We start from the raw sequence: 15349 nt of genomic DNA on the forward strand, positions 1-15349 counted from the left end.
GTAGATCAGGCAAAGGGTATCCTTGAGATAATGTGCTGATTGTTACACTGATTTATGAGTCACTAGGAAACATGGTTTTGGGAAATTCAAGAAATAACTGGGGCACATTTTTAGGGGAGCTAGGTTCTTGATAATGTATAGGACTCAGAACTATTCCAATAGGAACATAAATGTAAGAGTGACAGTGATTAAACCGGGTGACATTTGGGTTTGATAGGCTGATGTTTTGTTGCTTAATGCCCTTCAAAATACCAAAATACTTTTATCCACTTTAGCACTACTATCTCTATTCTTTAAATAAAATTTCCAAACTGTTCTAAAAGTCAGGTGTTTTTGCCTTTAAAGAAGCACTGTCAAATGTACTTGCTTCCAAATCCAATGAGTAAAGCCAAATCCACAGGAATATATCCTTAACTTGCCATATTGTGTCTACTTTCATTTCCACTGCAATATTTCAGGCACTTCTTAGTTCAGGAGCAATCTATTGTGCTAACTTGCTTACTGGTGTCTATGCTTTCACTCATGTATCCCTCCAAGTCCTTTCTCTGCTGCCAAAGTTTTGTTATTAAGGCCAAGTTTAATTAGTTAACTCCACTTCTCAAACTCTCTCAATTGTTCTCATTGTGGGTATAAATACCCCAAATTATCATCCTAGTGACTTTGGCCCTTTATAATCTGAATCCAATCCATTGGCCTAATCTTATTCTTTTAAATCTCAGCTTTCACTCTATGACCTTTAATCAGATCACTCACCACTCACCAGTACTTGGACTTTCTATTTATTTGCCAGTGCCCAGCGCTATTTCTCTTGAAATGCATGTTCTATGATTTGAAGGTATCTTTTCCAAAATCCATGTGTTAGAAACTTAATCCTCAATGTAACAGTGTTGGTTGGGAACTTTTGGAAGGTGTTTAGGTCATGAAGTCCCTTCTGTCATGAATGGATTAATGCTGCTATTAGAAAGATTTGCAGAAGTGTGCTCTTGCGCTCTCTTGTGCACTAGCTCTCGCTGTCTCTGTCTCTTTCTCTCTCTCTCTCACACACACACACACACACACACACACACACCCCCTTCTGCCCTCCTTTATGTGAGGATTCAGTAAGAAGGCCTGCATCTGATGCTGGAGTTTTGATCTTGCACTTTACACACTCCAGAATAGTAAGAAATAAATTTCTGTTTTTTATAAATTACCTAGTCTCAGGCATTCTGTTATAGCACTAAAATAACGTGTCTCAGTTTCTAGCCTCCTGGTAGAATAAGCCTAAAGCAAACCTTAGTATGGGACAAAATACTTCCTCCAGTTTTTGTGGATTTATTTTCTCTTTTAAAAGTTTGCCAAAATCAATGGAAACCTTTCCGACAGAGACTTTCTTAAATAAGAGGGTCTTTAGTAGTCATAAACAAGAAGGGAATAATTTCATGGGAATATGATAGACATCAGCAGAGTCGTGTATCAGTTTGCCTATTAATCACAACTTGTGCCTCCATTTTTCTTGCCAACTGCTGAATAAACTTTGATGGGTTTGGCATCTATGTGACTATTGGAATGCTGTCAAGAAATGGTATTCAGAACCTGGGGCTCTAGTGGTGAGATGACATATGGATGTGCCTCTGGTGACTTCAAAACTTTCTTTTTGGACAAATTTATAATTTCTGCAGAACTGGAAGAACATCACTTACAATGATACTTGGCCATTTATATATTGTGCAGTTTAAGCAAGTGAATCAGTTGCTTCTTCAATTGCTAGCAAGCAAAAAGGTAGTGGAGAAGTCATTTATTAAATGTGCTTCAGCTAGCAATAAAGGTTTGGAATTGGATGCTATTTTGAAAGCATTGTCTGTTGACAGATGAGGGCCTAAGAAGCATGGGGTTAAGGATATCAAAAGCATTGAATTTTTTTTTTTTTATAAAAGAGGAAATATATCCCAGATGTTTAGTATTTGGAAACTATTTCTACCTCTATGTCTTTGATGTGAGAACCAGAGCCATTTCCCAGATTACAAAGGCCATAAGTTCATGCCGTCATAGGAATTTAGAGGCCTTTAGAATGGCATATGCCAAGTTCATGTGTGTGTGTGTGTGTGTGTGTGTGTGTCACTTCTCTGTAAATGTTAAGCATTTGAAAATTATTTTGTAAATAATTTTCACCAATCCTCCCCAATTTATATACTTTCTTTTGTTTGTTTTTGAGATGGAGTCTCATTCTTTTGCCAGGCTGGAGTTCAGTGATGCAATCTCAGCTCCCTGCAACCTCCGCCCTCCCAGGTGCAAGCGATTCTCCTGCCTCAGCCTCTTGAGTAGCTGGGACTACAGGCACACGTCACCACACCCAGCTAATTTTTGTATTTTTAGTAGAGACAGGGTTCCACCATGTTGGCCAGGATGGTCTGGATCTCTTGACCTTGTGATCCTACCATCTCGGCCTCCCAAAGTGCTGGGATTACAGGCATGAGCCACCGCACCCAGCCTGTATACTTTTTACTAAGCCTATAAATCACACCATGCTCTATGGCTTCTTTCCACCAGTGAAAATGACCCCTTCCCTATTTCCTTGATGTCTTTACATAGTTATTTTTGATGGATTATTTTATTCGTCTCCCAGTTTACTTTCCTTCCTCTGTAAACTAAAAGCTTCACTCTCTTAGAGGCATTGGGACACTGGCTTCCATTCTAATCTTCATCTTCCTTTTCTCACTCCTTTCCTAGAAGGAAAAGCTGGACTCTAACTCGTGGCTTTGGGGAAGGCACAAATTAGCATAACTGATCTCTTCCCAAGCTATTTCTCTCAAGCCAACATGTTCATGTGATAGTTTTAGTCTTCTCCTCTTCTATTTTCTGCATAATAAGAAAATGTGGGTTAGGGCCAAGGCTCTGTCTTCTGGCTTGAAATCTGGGGAATCATCTCCCTATCCCTGCCTTTGGGTCTCCATAACAGGAGGCAGCAATTCCTCCTGCCACTGGTTAAATATTTATTTGAAGATTCTATTTCAGGAAATGTGGACTGCAAGATCAAGAGAGAGAGGAAATACTTTATTTCGAGCCACTCTCCTTGCAGTCTCAGACTGGGTTCCAATCTTGCTGTGCCAAGAATAAAGTCAACTTCATATTTATATAGTTATATTATCCGGAGATCTGAGAAAGAATGGACGTTACACTGATCTTCTATGTTCTTTTATTTAGTTTCTAACTTCAATGTTATTTATATCTAAGTCTGAATGCTGTCTATATTGAAAATAGTTAATTTATTAAAACATTTTTTCACGTAAGTTTATGGTCACAGTACCTAATCTTTGCTAAATGTTTGATTTATTTCTAAAAAGTCTTAAAATGATAGTTTATGAGTGCTCTCTTATTACCCTTAAACTTTTGCCTTTTAAAATGACTTGTAGCTGGGTGCCGTGGCTCATGCCTGCCATCCCAGCACTTTGGGAGGCCAAGGGGGGGCGGATCATTTGAACCCAGGAGTTTGAGAACAGCCTGGGAAACATGGCGACACACTGTCTCTACAAAAAATACAAAAATTAACCAAGTGTGGTGATGCGTGCCTGTAGTCCCAGCTACTTGGGAAGCTGATGTGTGGGAAGATTGCTTGAGCCCAGGGAGGTTGAGGCTGCAGTGGGGCCATGATTGCACCACTGCACCCCCACCTGGGAGACAGAGTGAGATCCTATCAATAAATAAATAAATAACAACTTGTGATATCATGACCACGAATATATTTGTAAAGGTTTAATTATAAACTATTGTTAGCATTTGCCAAATTGGAAGGACATTTATTTTGAATCTATCATACCTATTTTCAACTTCAGTAATTACAAGTGGTCAATTGTTTTTCATTTACATTTACTTTCCTTCTTTTTCTATACTTAATTTAAATTATATTAATTTAATTATTATTGTATTTTTAGACCTGGGGTCTCACTCTGTCGCCCAGGCTGGAGTGCAGTGGCACGATCATAGCCCATTGCAGCCTTGAACTCCTAAGCTAAAATGACCCTCCTGCCTTGGCCTCCCAAGTAGCTGGGACTGCAGGTGTGCACCACCACACCTGGCTATTATTTTAAAGTAAGTCACAGAGCGTATTATTATATTATTTCATCTGTAAATAAATGAATGTATTTTTAAAAAGCATAAGAATATTGTTAAAAAAACTATAGTACTATATTCTTATACCTCAAAAATAAAAGTTCTTTAATATTGTTAAATATTTGTTCAGTGTTAAAATTTCCAATTTTTAATACATTTTTTTAACATTTTATTTTAAATCCAAAGCAAGTCCACATATTTTGCTTCATTGATATATCCCTTGTGTTCCATTAGTATATAGTTTTCCCTTCAAATTTCTACTCTCCCAGGGCCATTTATATCTGAGAACATTGCCGCAGTCCAGATTTTGCTGATTATATACCTCATGGCAATTTTAATGTGCTTTTCTGCCCTCTTTTTCCGTAAATCAGTAGTTAGATTTAATGCACTCTCCAATATGGTAACCACTAGATACATGTAGCTATTTAAATTCAAGTTAATTAAACCATTTTCATCGCAGCAGAAGGTTCTATTACAGAGTGCTGATCTGGAGGACGTAGCAGATTCAGGTTCAATTTTTGGCAATAGTTTTTCACACATGATCCTGTGTTCTTTCACCAGGTACGATATAAAGTTTTGCCTTTGTGATGTTAGCAGCTACCGATGATCAATGTCTAGTTGCATCATTCATTAAGAGTTGCAAAATCATCATAATCTAATTCTATAGCTCATGACCTGGAATTCTTATATATGTATGTGTGTGTGTGTGTGTGTGTACACAGACACACATATATACATGTATATATATATATGTGTGTGTGTGTATATATATACATATATATGTGTGTATATATACACATATATATGCGTGTGTATATACACGTATATGTGTATACGTATATATATACACATACGTGCACATATATATATATATATATATATATATATATATATATATATATAAAACTTCTCCATATTTATTCTACTACCAGTGGTACAGTTTAAATAGCACAGGCAGAATAAATACATGATTTTCCGCCTTTATTTGGTAGTTTTCAAAATAATAGATTGGTCATGAGGATACTCCAACTAAAAATGTTTGATGTGATTCAATCTGTTAAAATTTGTATCCATATTGATGCTCCAGTTTCTGCTTTGACATGTGGAAGTTTCTTCAAGTTGGTTCCTGTCAGGTTTTGCATGTGTATGTTGATTTTTTTTTTTTGGCATGACTAGTAGTTTTGGGTAGCTTCTTTTATTATTATTATTTTTCCATAAGTTGTGGGGTACAGGTGGTATTTGGCTACATGAGTAAGTTGTTTAGTGGTGATTTGTGAGATTTTGGTGAACCCACCACCCGAACAGTATACACTGCACCCTATTTGCAGTCTTTTATCTCTCGGCCCCCCTCCCACTATTTCCCCCAGGTCCCCCAAGTCCACTGTATCATTCTTATGCCTTTGCATTCTCATAGCTGAGCACCCACATATCACTGAGAACATACCATGTTTAGTTTTCTATTCCTCAGTTACTTCACTTTGAATAATTGTCTCCAGTCTCATACAGGTCGCTGCAAATGCTGTTAATTCATTCCTTTTTATGGCTCAGTAGTATTCCATCATATATATGTATATATATGTATATATATGTATATATGTGTGTATATATGTATATATAGTATATACATGTATATGTGTATATATTATATATGTGTATATATGTATATATTATATATGTGTATATATGTATATATACGTATATGTATATATACATACATATGTCTGTTTTTTTGGCAGTTTCTTTATCCACTCACTGATTGATGGGCATTTGGGTTGGTTCCATGATTTTGCAATTGTGAATTGTGCTGCTATAAACATATGTGTGCAAGCATCTTTTTAGTATAATGATTTCTTTTCCTCTGGGTAGATACCCAGTAGTGGGATTGCTGAATAAAATGGTAGTTCTACTTTTAGTTCTTTAAGGAATTCCACACTGTTTTCCATAGTGACTGTACTAGTTTACATTCCCACCAGCAGTGTAGAAGTGTTCCCTAATCACTGCATCCATGTCAACATCTACTGTTTTTTGATTTTTTTGATTATGGCCATTCTTGCAGGAGTAAGGTGGTATCACATTGTGGTTTTGATTTGCATTTCCCTGATCATTAATGACGTTGAGCATTTTATCATATGTTTGTTGGCCATTTATATATCTTCTTTTGAGAATTTGTCTGTTCATGTCCTTAGCCCACTTTTTAGTGGGATCGTTTGTTTTTTTCTTACTGATTTGTTTGAATTCATTGTAGATTCTGATATTAGTCTTTTGTCAGATGTATAGATTGTGAAGATTTTCTCCCACTCTGTGGGTTGTTTACTGACTGTTCCTTTTGCCGTGCAAAAGCTTTTTAGTTTAATTAAGTCCCAGCTATTTATCTTTGTTTTTATTGCATTTGCTTTTGGGCTCTTGGTCATGAAATCCTTGCCTAAGCCAATGTCTAGAAAGGTTTTTCCGATGTTACCTTCTAGAATTTTTGTAGTTTCAGGTCTTAGATTTAAGTGCTTAATTCATCTTGAGTTTATTTTTGTATAAAGTGAGAAGTGAGGATTCAGTTTCATACTCCTACATGTGGCTTGCCAACTATCCCAGCACCATTTGTTGAAAAGGGTGTGCTTTCCCCACTTTATGTTTTTGTTTGCTTTGTTGAAGATCAGTTGGCTGTAAGTGTTTGGGTTTATTTCTGCATTCTCTATTCTGTTCCATTGGTTTATGTGCCTATTTTTACACCAGTATCATGCTGTTTTGCTGACTGTGGCCTTATAGTATCTTCTGAAATCAGGTAATGTGATGCCCCCAGATTTGTTTTTTTTGCTTAGTCTTGCTTTGGCTGTGGGGGCTCTTTTTTGGTTCCATATGAATTTTAGAATTTTTTTTTTCTAATTCTATGAAGAATGTTGGTGGTATTTTGATGGGGATTGCATTGAATTTGTAGATTGGTTTTGGCAGTTTGGTCATTTTCACAATATTGATTCTACCCATCCATGAGCTTGAGATATGTTTCCCCTTGTTTGTGTCGTCTGTGATTTCTTTCAGCAGTGTTTTGTAGTTTTCCTTGTAGAGGTCTTTTGATGCCTTGGCTAGGTATATTCCTAAGTATTTTATTTGATTTTATTGCAGCTATTCTAAAAGTGGTTGAGTTCTTGATGTGTTTCTCTGCTTGGTTGCTGTTGGTGTATAGAAGAGCTACTGATTTGTGTACATTAATCTTGTATCCGGAAATTTGCTGAATTATTTTATCAATTCTAGGAGATTTCTGAAGGAGTTTTTAGGGTTTTCAAGGTAAACAATCATATCATCAGCAAACAGTGACAGTTTGACTTCCTCTTTACTGATTTGGATGCCCTTTATTTCTTTCTCTTTGTCTGATTGCTCTAGCTAGGACTTCAGTACTATGTTGAAGAGGAGTGGGGAGCGTGGGCATCCTTGTCTTGTTCCAGTTCTCAAAGGGAATGCTTCCAACTTTTTCCCCATTTAGTATTATGATAGCTTTGGGTTTGTCATAGATGGCTTTTATTACATTGAGGCATGTCCCTTGTATGCCAGTTTTGCTGAGAGTTTTAATCATAAAGGGATGCTGGATTTTGTCAAATGCTTTTTCTGCATCTATTGAAGTGATCATGTGATTTTTGTTTTTAATTCTGTTTATGTGGTGTATCACATTTATTGACTTGTGTATGATAAACCAGGCATGCATCCCTGGTATGAAACTCACTTGATTATGGTGCATTATCTTTGGTTTGTTGTTGGATTAGGTTAGCTAGTATTTTGTTAAGGATTTTAGCATCTATGTTCATCAAGGATATGGGTCTGCAGTTTTCTTTTTTGGTTATGACCTTTCTTGGTTTTGGTATTAGGGTGATGCGGGCTGCATAGAATGAATTAGGGAGGGTTCCTTCTTTCTCTATCTTGTGGAATGGTGAGAAAGGGATTGGTAATTCTTCTTTGAATGTCTGGTAGAATTCTGCTGTGAATCTGTCTGTTCTTGGACTTTTTTTATTGGTAATTTTTAAATTACCATTTCAATCTCACTGCTTGTTATTGGTCTGTTCAGGGTAACTTATTCGTCCTGATTTAAGCTAGGAGGGTTGCATTTTTCCAGGAATTTATCCGTCTTTTCTAGGTTTTCTAGTTTATGTGCATAAAGGTGTTCATAGTAGCCTTGAATGATCTTTTGTATTTCAGTGGTGTCAGTTGTAATACCTCCTGTTTCATTTTTTAATGAGGTTATTTGGATTTTCCCTCTTTCTTCTTGGTTAATCTTGCTAATGATCTATCAATTTTATTTGTCTTTTCAAAGAACCAGCTTTTTGTTTCATTTATTTTTTGTATTTTTTTTGTTTCAATTTCATTTAGCTCTGCTCTGATCTTGGTTATTTCCTTTCTTCTGCTGCATTTGGGTTCAGTTTGTTCTTGTTTCTCTAGTTCCTTGAGGTGTGACATTAGAATGTCAGTTGTGCTCTTTTAGTCTTTTTTTTTCTTTTTTTTTTTTTTAATTATACTTTAAGTTCTAGGATACACGTGCACAACGTGCAGGTTTGTTACATACGTATACATGTGCTATGTTGGTGTGCTGCACCCCTTAACTCATTTACATTAGGTATGTCTCCTAATGCTATCCCTCCCGCCTCCCCCCACCCCATGACAGGTCCCGGTGTGTGATGTTCCCTTCCTGTGTCCAAGTGTTTTCATCCTTCAATTCCCACCTATGAGTGAGAATATGTGGTGTTTGGTTTTCCGTCCTTGCGATAGTTTGCTCAGAATGATGGTTTCCAGCTTCATCCATGTCCCTTGTGCTCTTTCAGCATTTTCTTTTCTTTCTTTTTTTTTTTTTTTTTTCCTCAAGATGGAGTCTTGATCTCTCACCCAGGCTGGAGTGCAGTGGTGCGATCTCAGGTCACTGCAACCTCCACCTCCCAGGTTCAAGTGATTCTCCTGCCTCAGTCTCCCGAGTAGCTGGGATTACAGGCATGTACCACCACACCCAACTAATTTTTGTATTTTTAATAGGGACAGGGTTTCACGATGTTGGCCAGGCTGGTCTCAAACTCCTGACCTCTAGTGATCTGCCCGCCTTGGCATCCCGAAGTGCTAGGATTACAGGCACGAGCCACTGCACCCAGCCTCTTTCAGTTTTTTTGATGTAGTTATTTAGGGCTGTGAACTTTCCTCTTAGCACTGCTTTTACTGTATCTGCTAGGTTTTGATAGGTTGCATCATTATTGTTCAGTTCAAATAATTGTTTAATTTCCATCTTGATTTCGTTTTTGACCCAGTGCTCATTCAGGAGCAGGTTATTTAATTTCTATGTTTTGCATGGATTTGAAGGTTCCTTTTGGAGTTGATTTCCAGTTTTATTCCACTGTGGTCTGAGAGAGTGCTTGATATAATTTCAATTTTCTTAAATTTAATCAGGGTCATTTTATGCCTATCATATGGTCTATCTTGGAGAAAGTTCCATGCCCTGTTGAATAGAATGTGTATTCTGCAGTTCTTGGGTGAAAGGTTCTGTATGTATCTGTGAAGTCATTTGTTTCAATGTATAGTTTAAATCCATTGTTTCTTTATTGGCTTTCTGTCTTGATGACCTGTCTAGTGCTGTCAGTGGAGTATTGCAGTCCCCCACTATTATTGTATTGTTGTCTATCTGACTTCTTAGGTCTATTAGTAATTGTTTTATAAATTTGAGAGCTCCAGTGTGAGGTGCTTATGTGTTTAGGATTGTGATATTTTTCTGTTGGACAAGGTTTTTTACCATTATATAATGTCCCTCTTTGTCTCTTTTAACTGCTGTTGCTTTAAAGTTTGTTTTGTCTGATGTAAGGATAGCTCCCCCCACCACCCTCGCTTTTGGTGTCTTTTTGCATGAAATGCCTTTTTCCACTGCTTTAAGTTTACGTGAGTCCTTATGTGTTGGGTGAGTCTCCTGAAGGCAGCAGATAGTTGGTAATGGAGTTCTTATCCATTCTGCAGTTTACACTCAATGTTAGTATTGAGGTGTGAGGTACTGTTGCATTCATCGTGCTATTTGTTATCTGTGTAATTTATTTTTGGTTTTTGTTTTTGGTTTTTGCTTTTTTAACTTGTATTTTTGTTTTACGGGTTCTGTGTGATTTATGCTTTGAAGACATTCTGTTTTGATGTGTTTTCAGGATTTGTTTCAAGATTTAGAGCTCCTTTTAGCAGTTCTTGTAGTAGTGGCTTGGTAGTGGTGAATTCTGTCAGCATTTGTCTGAAAATGACTGTTTCTTTCCTTCATATATGATGCTTATTTTCACTGGATACAAAATTCTTGGCTGATAATTGTTTTGTTTGAGGAGGCTGAAGATAGGGCCCCAATCCCTTCTAGCTTGTAGGGTTTCTGCTGAGAAATCTGCTGTTATTCTGATACGTTTTCCTTTATAGGTTACCTGGTGCTTTTGCCTCACAGCTCTTAAGATTCTTTCCTTCATCTTAACTTTGGATAACCTGATGACTATGTGCCTAGGCAATGATCTTTTTGTGATGAATTTCCCAGGTGTTCTTTGTGCTTCTTGTATTTGGATGTCTAGGGCTCTAGCAAGGCCAGGGAAGTTTTCCTCAATTATTGCCCCAAATAAGTTTTCCTAACTTTCAGAATTCTCTTCTTCCTCAGGAACACCAATTATTCTTATGTTTCATCGTTTAACATAATCCCAGACTTCTTGGAGGCTTTGTTCACATTTTCTTATTCTTTTTTCTTTGTCTTTGTTGCATTGGGTTAATTCGAAGACCTTGTCTTCTAGCTCTGAATTTCTTTCTTCCACTTGTTCAATTCTGTTGCTGAGACTTTCCAGAGCATTTAGTATTTCTATAAGTGTGTCCACTCTTTCCTGAATTTTTTGTTGTTTTTTTCTTTAAGCTTTCTGATTCCTTGAATATTTCTCCTTTCACTTCTCGTATCTTTTTTTTTTTTTTTTTCTTTTTTCCCTTGCTTTGGCCTTCACCTTTCTCTGGTGTTTCCCTAATTAGTTTAATAGCTAACCTCCTGAATTCTTTTTCAGGTAAATCAGGGATTTTCTTCTTGGTTTCGATCCATTGCTGGTGAACTAGTGTGATTTTTTGGGGGTGTTAAAGAGCCTTCTTATGTCATATTACCAGAGTTGGTTTTCTGGTTCCTTCTTATTTGGGTAGGCTCTGTCAGAAAGAAGGTCTAGGGATGAAGACTGTTCAGATTCTTTTGTCCCATGGGGTGTTTTCCTGATATTAGCACTCTTCCCCTTTTCCTATGGATGTGGCTTCCTGTGAGCTGAACTGCAGTGATTGTTGTCTCTCTTCTGGGTCTAGCCAGCAGCAAGTCTACCTGGCCCCAGGCTGGTACTGGGGATTGTCTTCACAGAGTCCTGTGATGTTAACCATCTATGGGTCTTCAGGTGTACCAGCACCTGTTCCAATGGAGGTGATAGGGGGTTGCAATGGACTCCATGAGGGTTCTTAGCTTTGGGGGTTTAATGCTCTATTTTTGTGCTGGTTGGCCTCCTGCTTTCCCGAGAGCATCAACTGTGGTAGTATGGAGAGGAACTGGCAGTGGGTGGGGCCCTAGAACTCCCAAGATTATATGTCCTTTGTCGTCATGTACCAGGGTGGGTAGGGAAGGACCATCAGGTGAGGGCAGTGCTAGGTGTGTCTGAGCTCAGACTCTCCTTAGGTGGGTCTTGCTGCAGCTGCTGTGAAGGATGGGGATAACGTTCTCAGGTCAATGGAGTTGTGTACCTAAGAGGATTCTGGCTACCTCTGCGGAGTCAGGCAGGTTGTCAGGGAAGCTGGGGAAAACTGGTAGTCACAGGCCTCACCCAGCTCCCAGGCAAGCTGAAGGACCAGTCTCAGTCCCACTACATACCACCCCCCACCCCCAATAACCCTGAGTCTCTTTCCAGGCAGTGGACAAGCTGGGCTTGAGAACTTGCCCCAGGCTACCCACCTCCCAGCTGTGAAAGAAAAGGGCTTGGTTCTTCCCCCACCTATGGAGTCTGCATACCAGATTTGTGCCCTTCCCTAAGTTCTAGCCAGGAGGCTTCTCACATCATTCAAATGGTTAGAAAGTTCCAATTGGAGATATCCTTCTCGCAGTGGTGTTTTCCCCCTCACTCTTCTGGCCACCCTCCCAATGGATCCCTGTGGTCCCAGGCAGGAATGACCTGATTGGAGACCCAGTGGACTCCCAAGGCCTTTCTGCTGCTTCCTCTATCCATGCATTTTGCTCAGCTCTCTAAATTGACTCAGTACCAGTTAAGGTTGGAAATTTCTCTTGCAAACAGACGTTCTTTTTCTCCAGTGAGGATGTGTGTTCAGGAGAGGAGGCTCTCCCTTTTCCACTTCCACAGTTGGAGCATTCACAGTATTTGGGGTGTCTCCCGGGTCCTGCAGGAGCTGTCTGCTTCCTTCAGAGGGTCCGTGGGTCCTCTGGGGATTGCAGGTTTGTTCTTGTAGTTGATCTGGAGCTAAAACTCACAGTGCGAGCCTCTGCATGCTGCTCTGTCCATCTGAGTCAGAGCTGCAATCTAGTCCTGCCTCCTGTCTGCCATGATGAGCCAGTAGCTTCTTATTTTCTTTTGTTATAAAATGTTCCAGCTTATCCAGTACAGTTCCAGCCCTAGGTGTGGAACCAGCTATTTCTCCAAGGAGCTCTGTTATTTTGATCCAGAAGTAGTATTTTAAGGCTACATTCTCAATGCTGGGTCTCATTACTACTGGGTTTGACGTTGGTTCTAGACCCTTTCAGTGGACACACCAAGAAGTTTTATTTTAGGATAAAGTACTTTATGAGATTTTTAAAGATAAAATACATAAGCCTATCTTGTCATTTCCAATTGAATTCAAGTCTACAAAATTGTATTTATCTCTACTACCTTATATCAATATTCCTCCTTCCCAAGCTGAAAAACCCCATTGTGTATAATAACAGAAATGACGGAATATAGTTCCTCATTTGCTTTGTCTTAAAATGCAACAATACAATTTTGAATATCCGTCATCAAGATTATAGTCACAAAAACATTTTACAATTTTGTTTTTTACATTTATTTTTGTTCTTACAGTATATACTACAAAGGCTGTAGTATATGGTCAAATTACTATGTTTTTAAGTCACTTGAATTACTTTTCCTCTATGTGATTATTCCATTGCAATATACATGTAGTCAATACATACACATTTTGGTAAAACTTTAGGAAACTTCTCTGAAAAAGCTGGGACATTAGAGCCAAATTTTGAAGTACCTTATATGGCATATTTAGGTAGATTTTTCTATATTTGGAAGTAAAAGAATACCCAATCTCTAATTGGCTTAGGCAAAAACAGAATCTCTGACTACTATAGATAAAAAGTCCAGAAATATCTCCCCCAGTCACTTGTCCTCTTTGCTCTTGCCCCAACTCTGTTCCTCTTTTTCATGTTTGGCAAAGTTTTTAAGCTTGCTTCCTGTAGTAATCCCCAGAAGGTTTGGGCCTCTAACTTCAGCATTCTAATATCAGTGAAAAATAAACTGCTTTCTTCCTAACAATTCTACACATATCTGGAGCCAAGATTTCATTGGTTCAGAGTGTGTGACATGCCCTTCCCTAAAACAATCACTTTTGACAGGCGATAAAGTGCACCGATTGGCTTAGGCCTGGGCATGTACAAACATTAACTAAGACCGGGAGAGGAAGTTCCTCAACGAAAGTTTCCTGCGTTCTTATCAGACGATGGCAAATTAATGATTGATGATCAACAATAGTAAATTCCAGAGTCATTTATAAAACAGATAATTTGATAATTAAAATATATTTACGATGTTAAAGCTTTATCATCAGATTCCGCAGGTTCACAGCAACTACTGACACTGTATATAACTGGAATTCCACAGACTTTTATTGCTGGAAGGAACGATGGAAATTACTTTGTCCAAGCACTTCGTTTGTAGAGAATGGAACTAAGTCCCAGAAATTTACTACCCAAAAGCCAAAAGGACTTCAATGCATGGGAGTATGGATAGAAGGAAATATATTCTTAGACTGTGAGCAGATGGGCTTGCCTTAGGAAGGTCCCAGAAAATCACATTTTCACTTTATTCTCTTTTTTAACAAAACTTCTATTTTGGGGCATAATTTGGAGTATCCTTCCAACACACTGCCCTCTTCTTTGGCATAATATGAAATATACCCATCATGCTCACTGGAAGTACAGGCCTGAGTGCATATGACTATACTGGCTTTCTCCCCCTGGTGTACAGATAATAAAACTGGAGATAAACATCCATCTTTTGACCAGACAATGAGCCAGAAAAAACATCGCATTCTCAGACAGCAAATTTTTAAACTAGGAGACACATAGATTGAAGTTACCCAAGCAATAAGATTAAATTTAGATACTCATGGAGAGTTGAGGCTAGTAGATATGTTGAATCATAGAGAAATAAGATGAAAATAAGAAGAACAAGGCAAAACCATGGAGAAAGTAAAAAGATCAGTGGCTGCCAGGGGTTGGGGAGGAGGGAATAATGAACAGGTGAAGCATAGAGGATTTGAAGGGCGGTGAAACTATTTTGAATGATACAGGTATACTTCTTTTTGTGCTTCATTTTATTGCACTTTTCAGATATTGTTTTCTTTACAAGTTGAAAATTTGTGGCAACCCTGCATTGGGCAAGAGGTTCAGCGCCATTTTTCCAACAGCATGTGCTCACTTTGTGTCTCTGCGTCACGTTTTGCTAATTCTCACAATATATCAAACTTTTTATTGTTATATCTTTTAAGGTATTTTTCATCACTGACCTTTGATGTTACTATTATAATTGGTTGGGGTGCTACAAACCACCCACTTTTAAGATAGCAAACTTAATCTATGAATGTTGTGTGTATTCTGACTGCTCTACCAACCAGTCATTCCCACATCTCTCTCTGTTTTTTCTCGGGTCTTCCTACAATGGCCTCTAAGTGTTCAAATGAAAGGAAGAGTTGCACATTTCTCACTTTAAATCAAAAGCTAAAAATGATTAGGTTTACTGAGAAAGGCATGTTGAAAGCTGAGATAAGTCAAAAGCGAAGGCCTCTTGCACCAAACAGGCAATTTGTGAATGCAAAGGAAAAACTCTTAAAGAAAATTTAAAGTGCTCCTCCAAAGAACACACAAATGATAAGAAATAGAAACAGTCTTACGATATAGAGATGATATAGAGAAAGTTTTAATGGTCTGTACAGAAGATCAAACCAGCTACAATATTTTCTTAAGCAGAAGCCTAATCCAGAGTAAGGCCCTAACTCTCTT

The sequence above is a fragment of the Homo sapiens genome, chromosome 5, assembly GCF_000001405.40.
Source record: "Homo sapiens chromosome 5, GRCh38.p14 Primary Assembly".
Taxonomy (NCBI): Eukaryota; Metazoa; Chordata; class Mammalia; order Primates; family Hominidae; genus Homo; species Homo sapiens.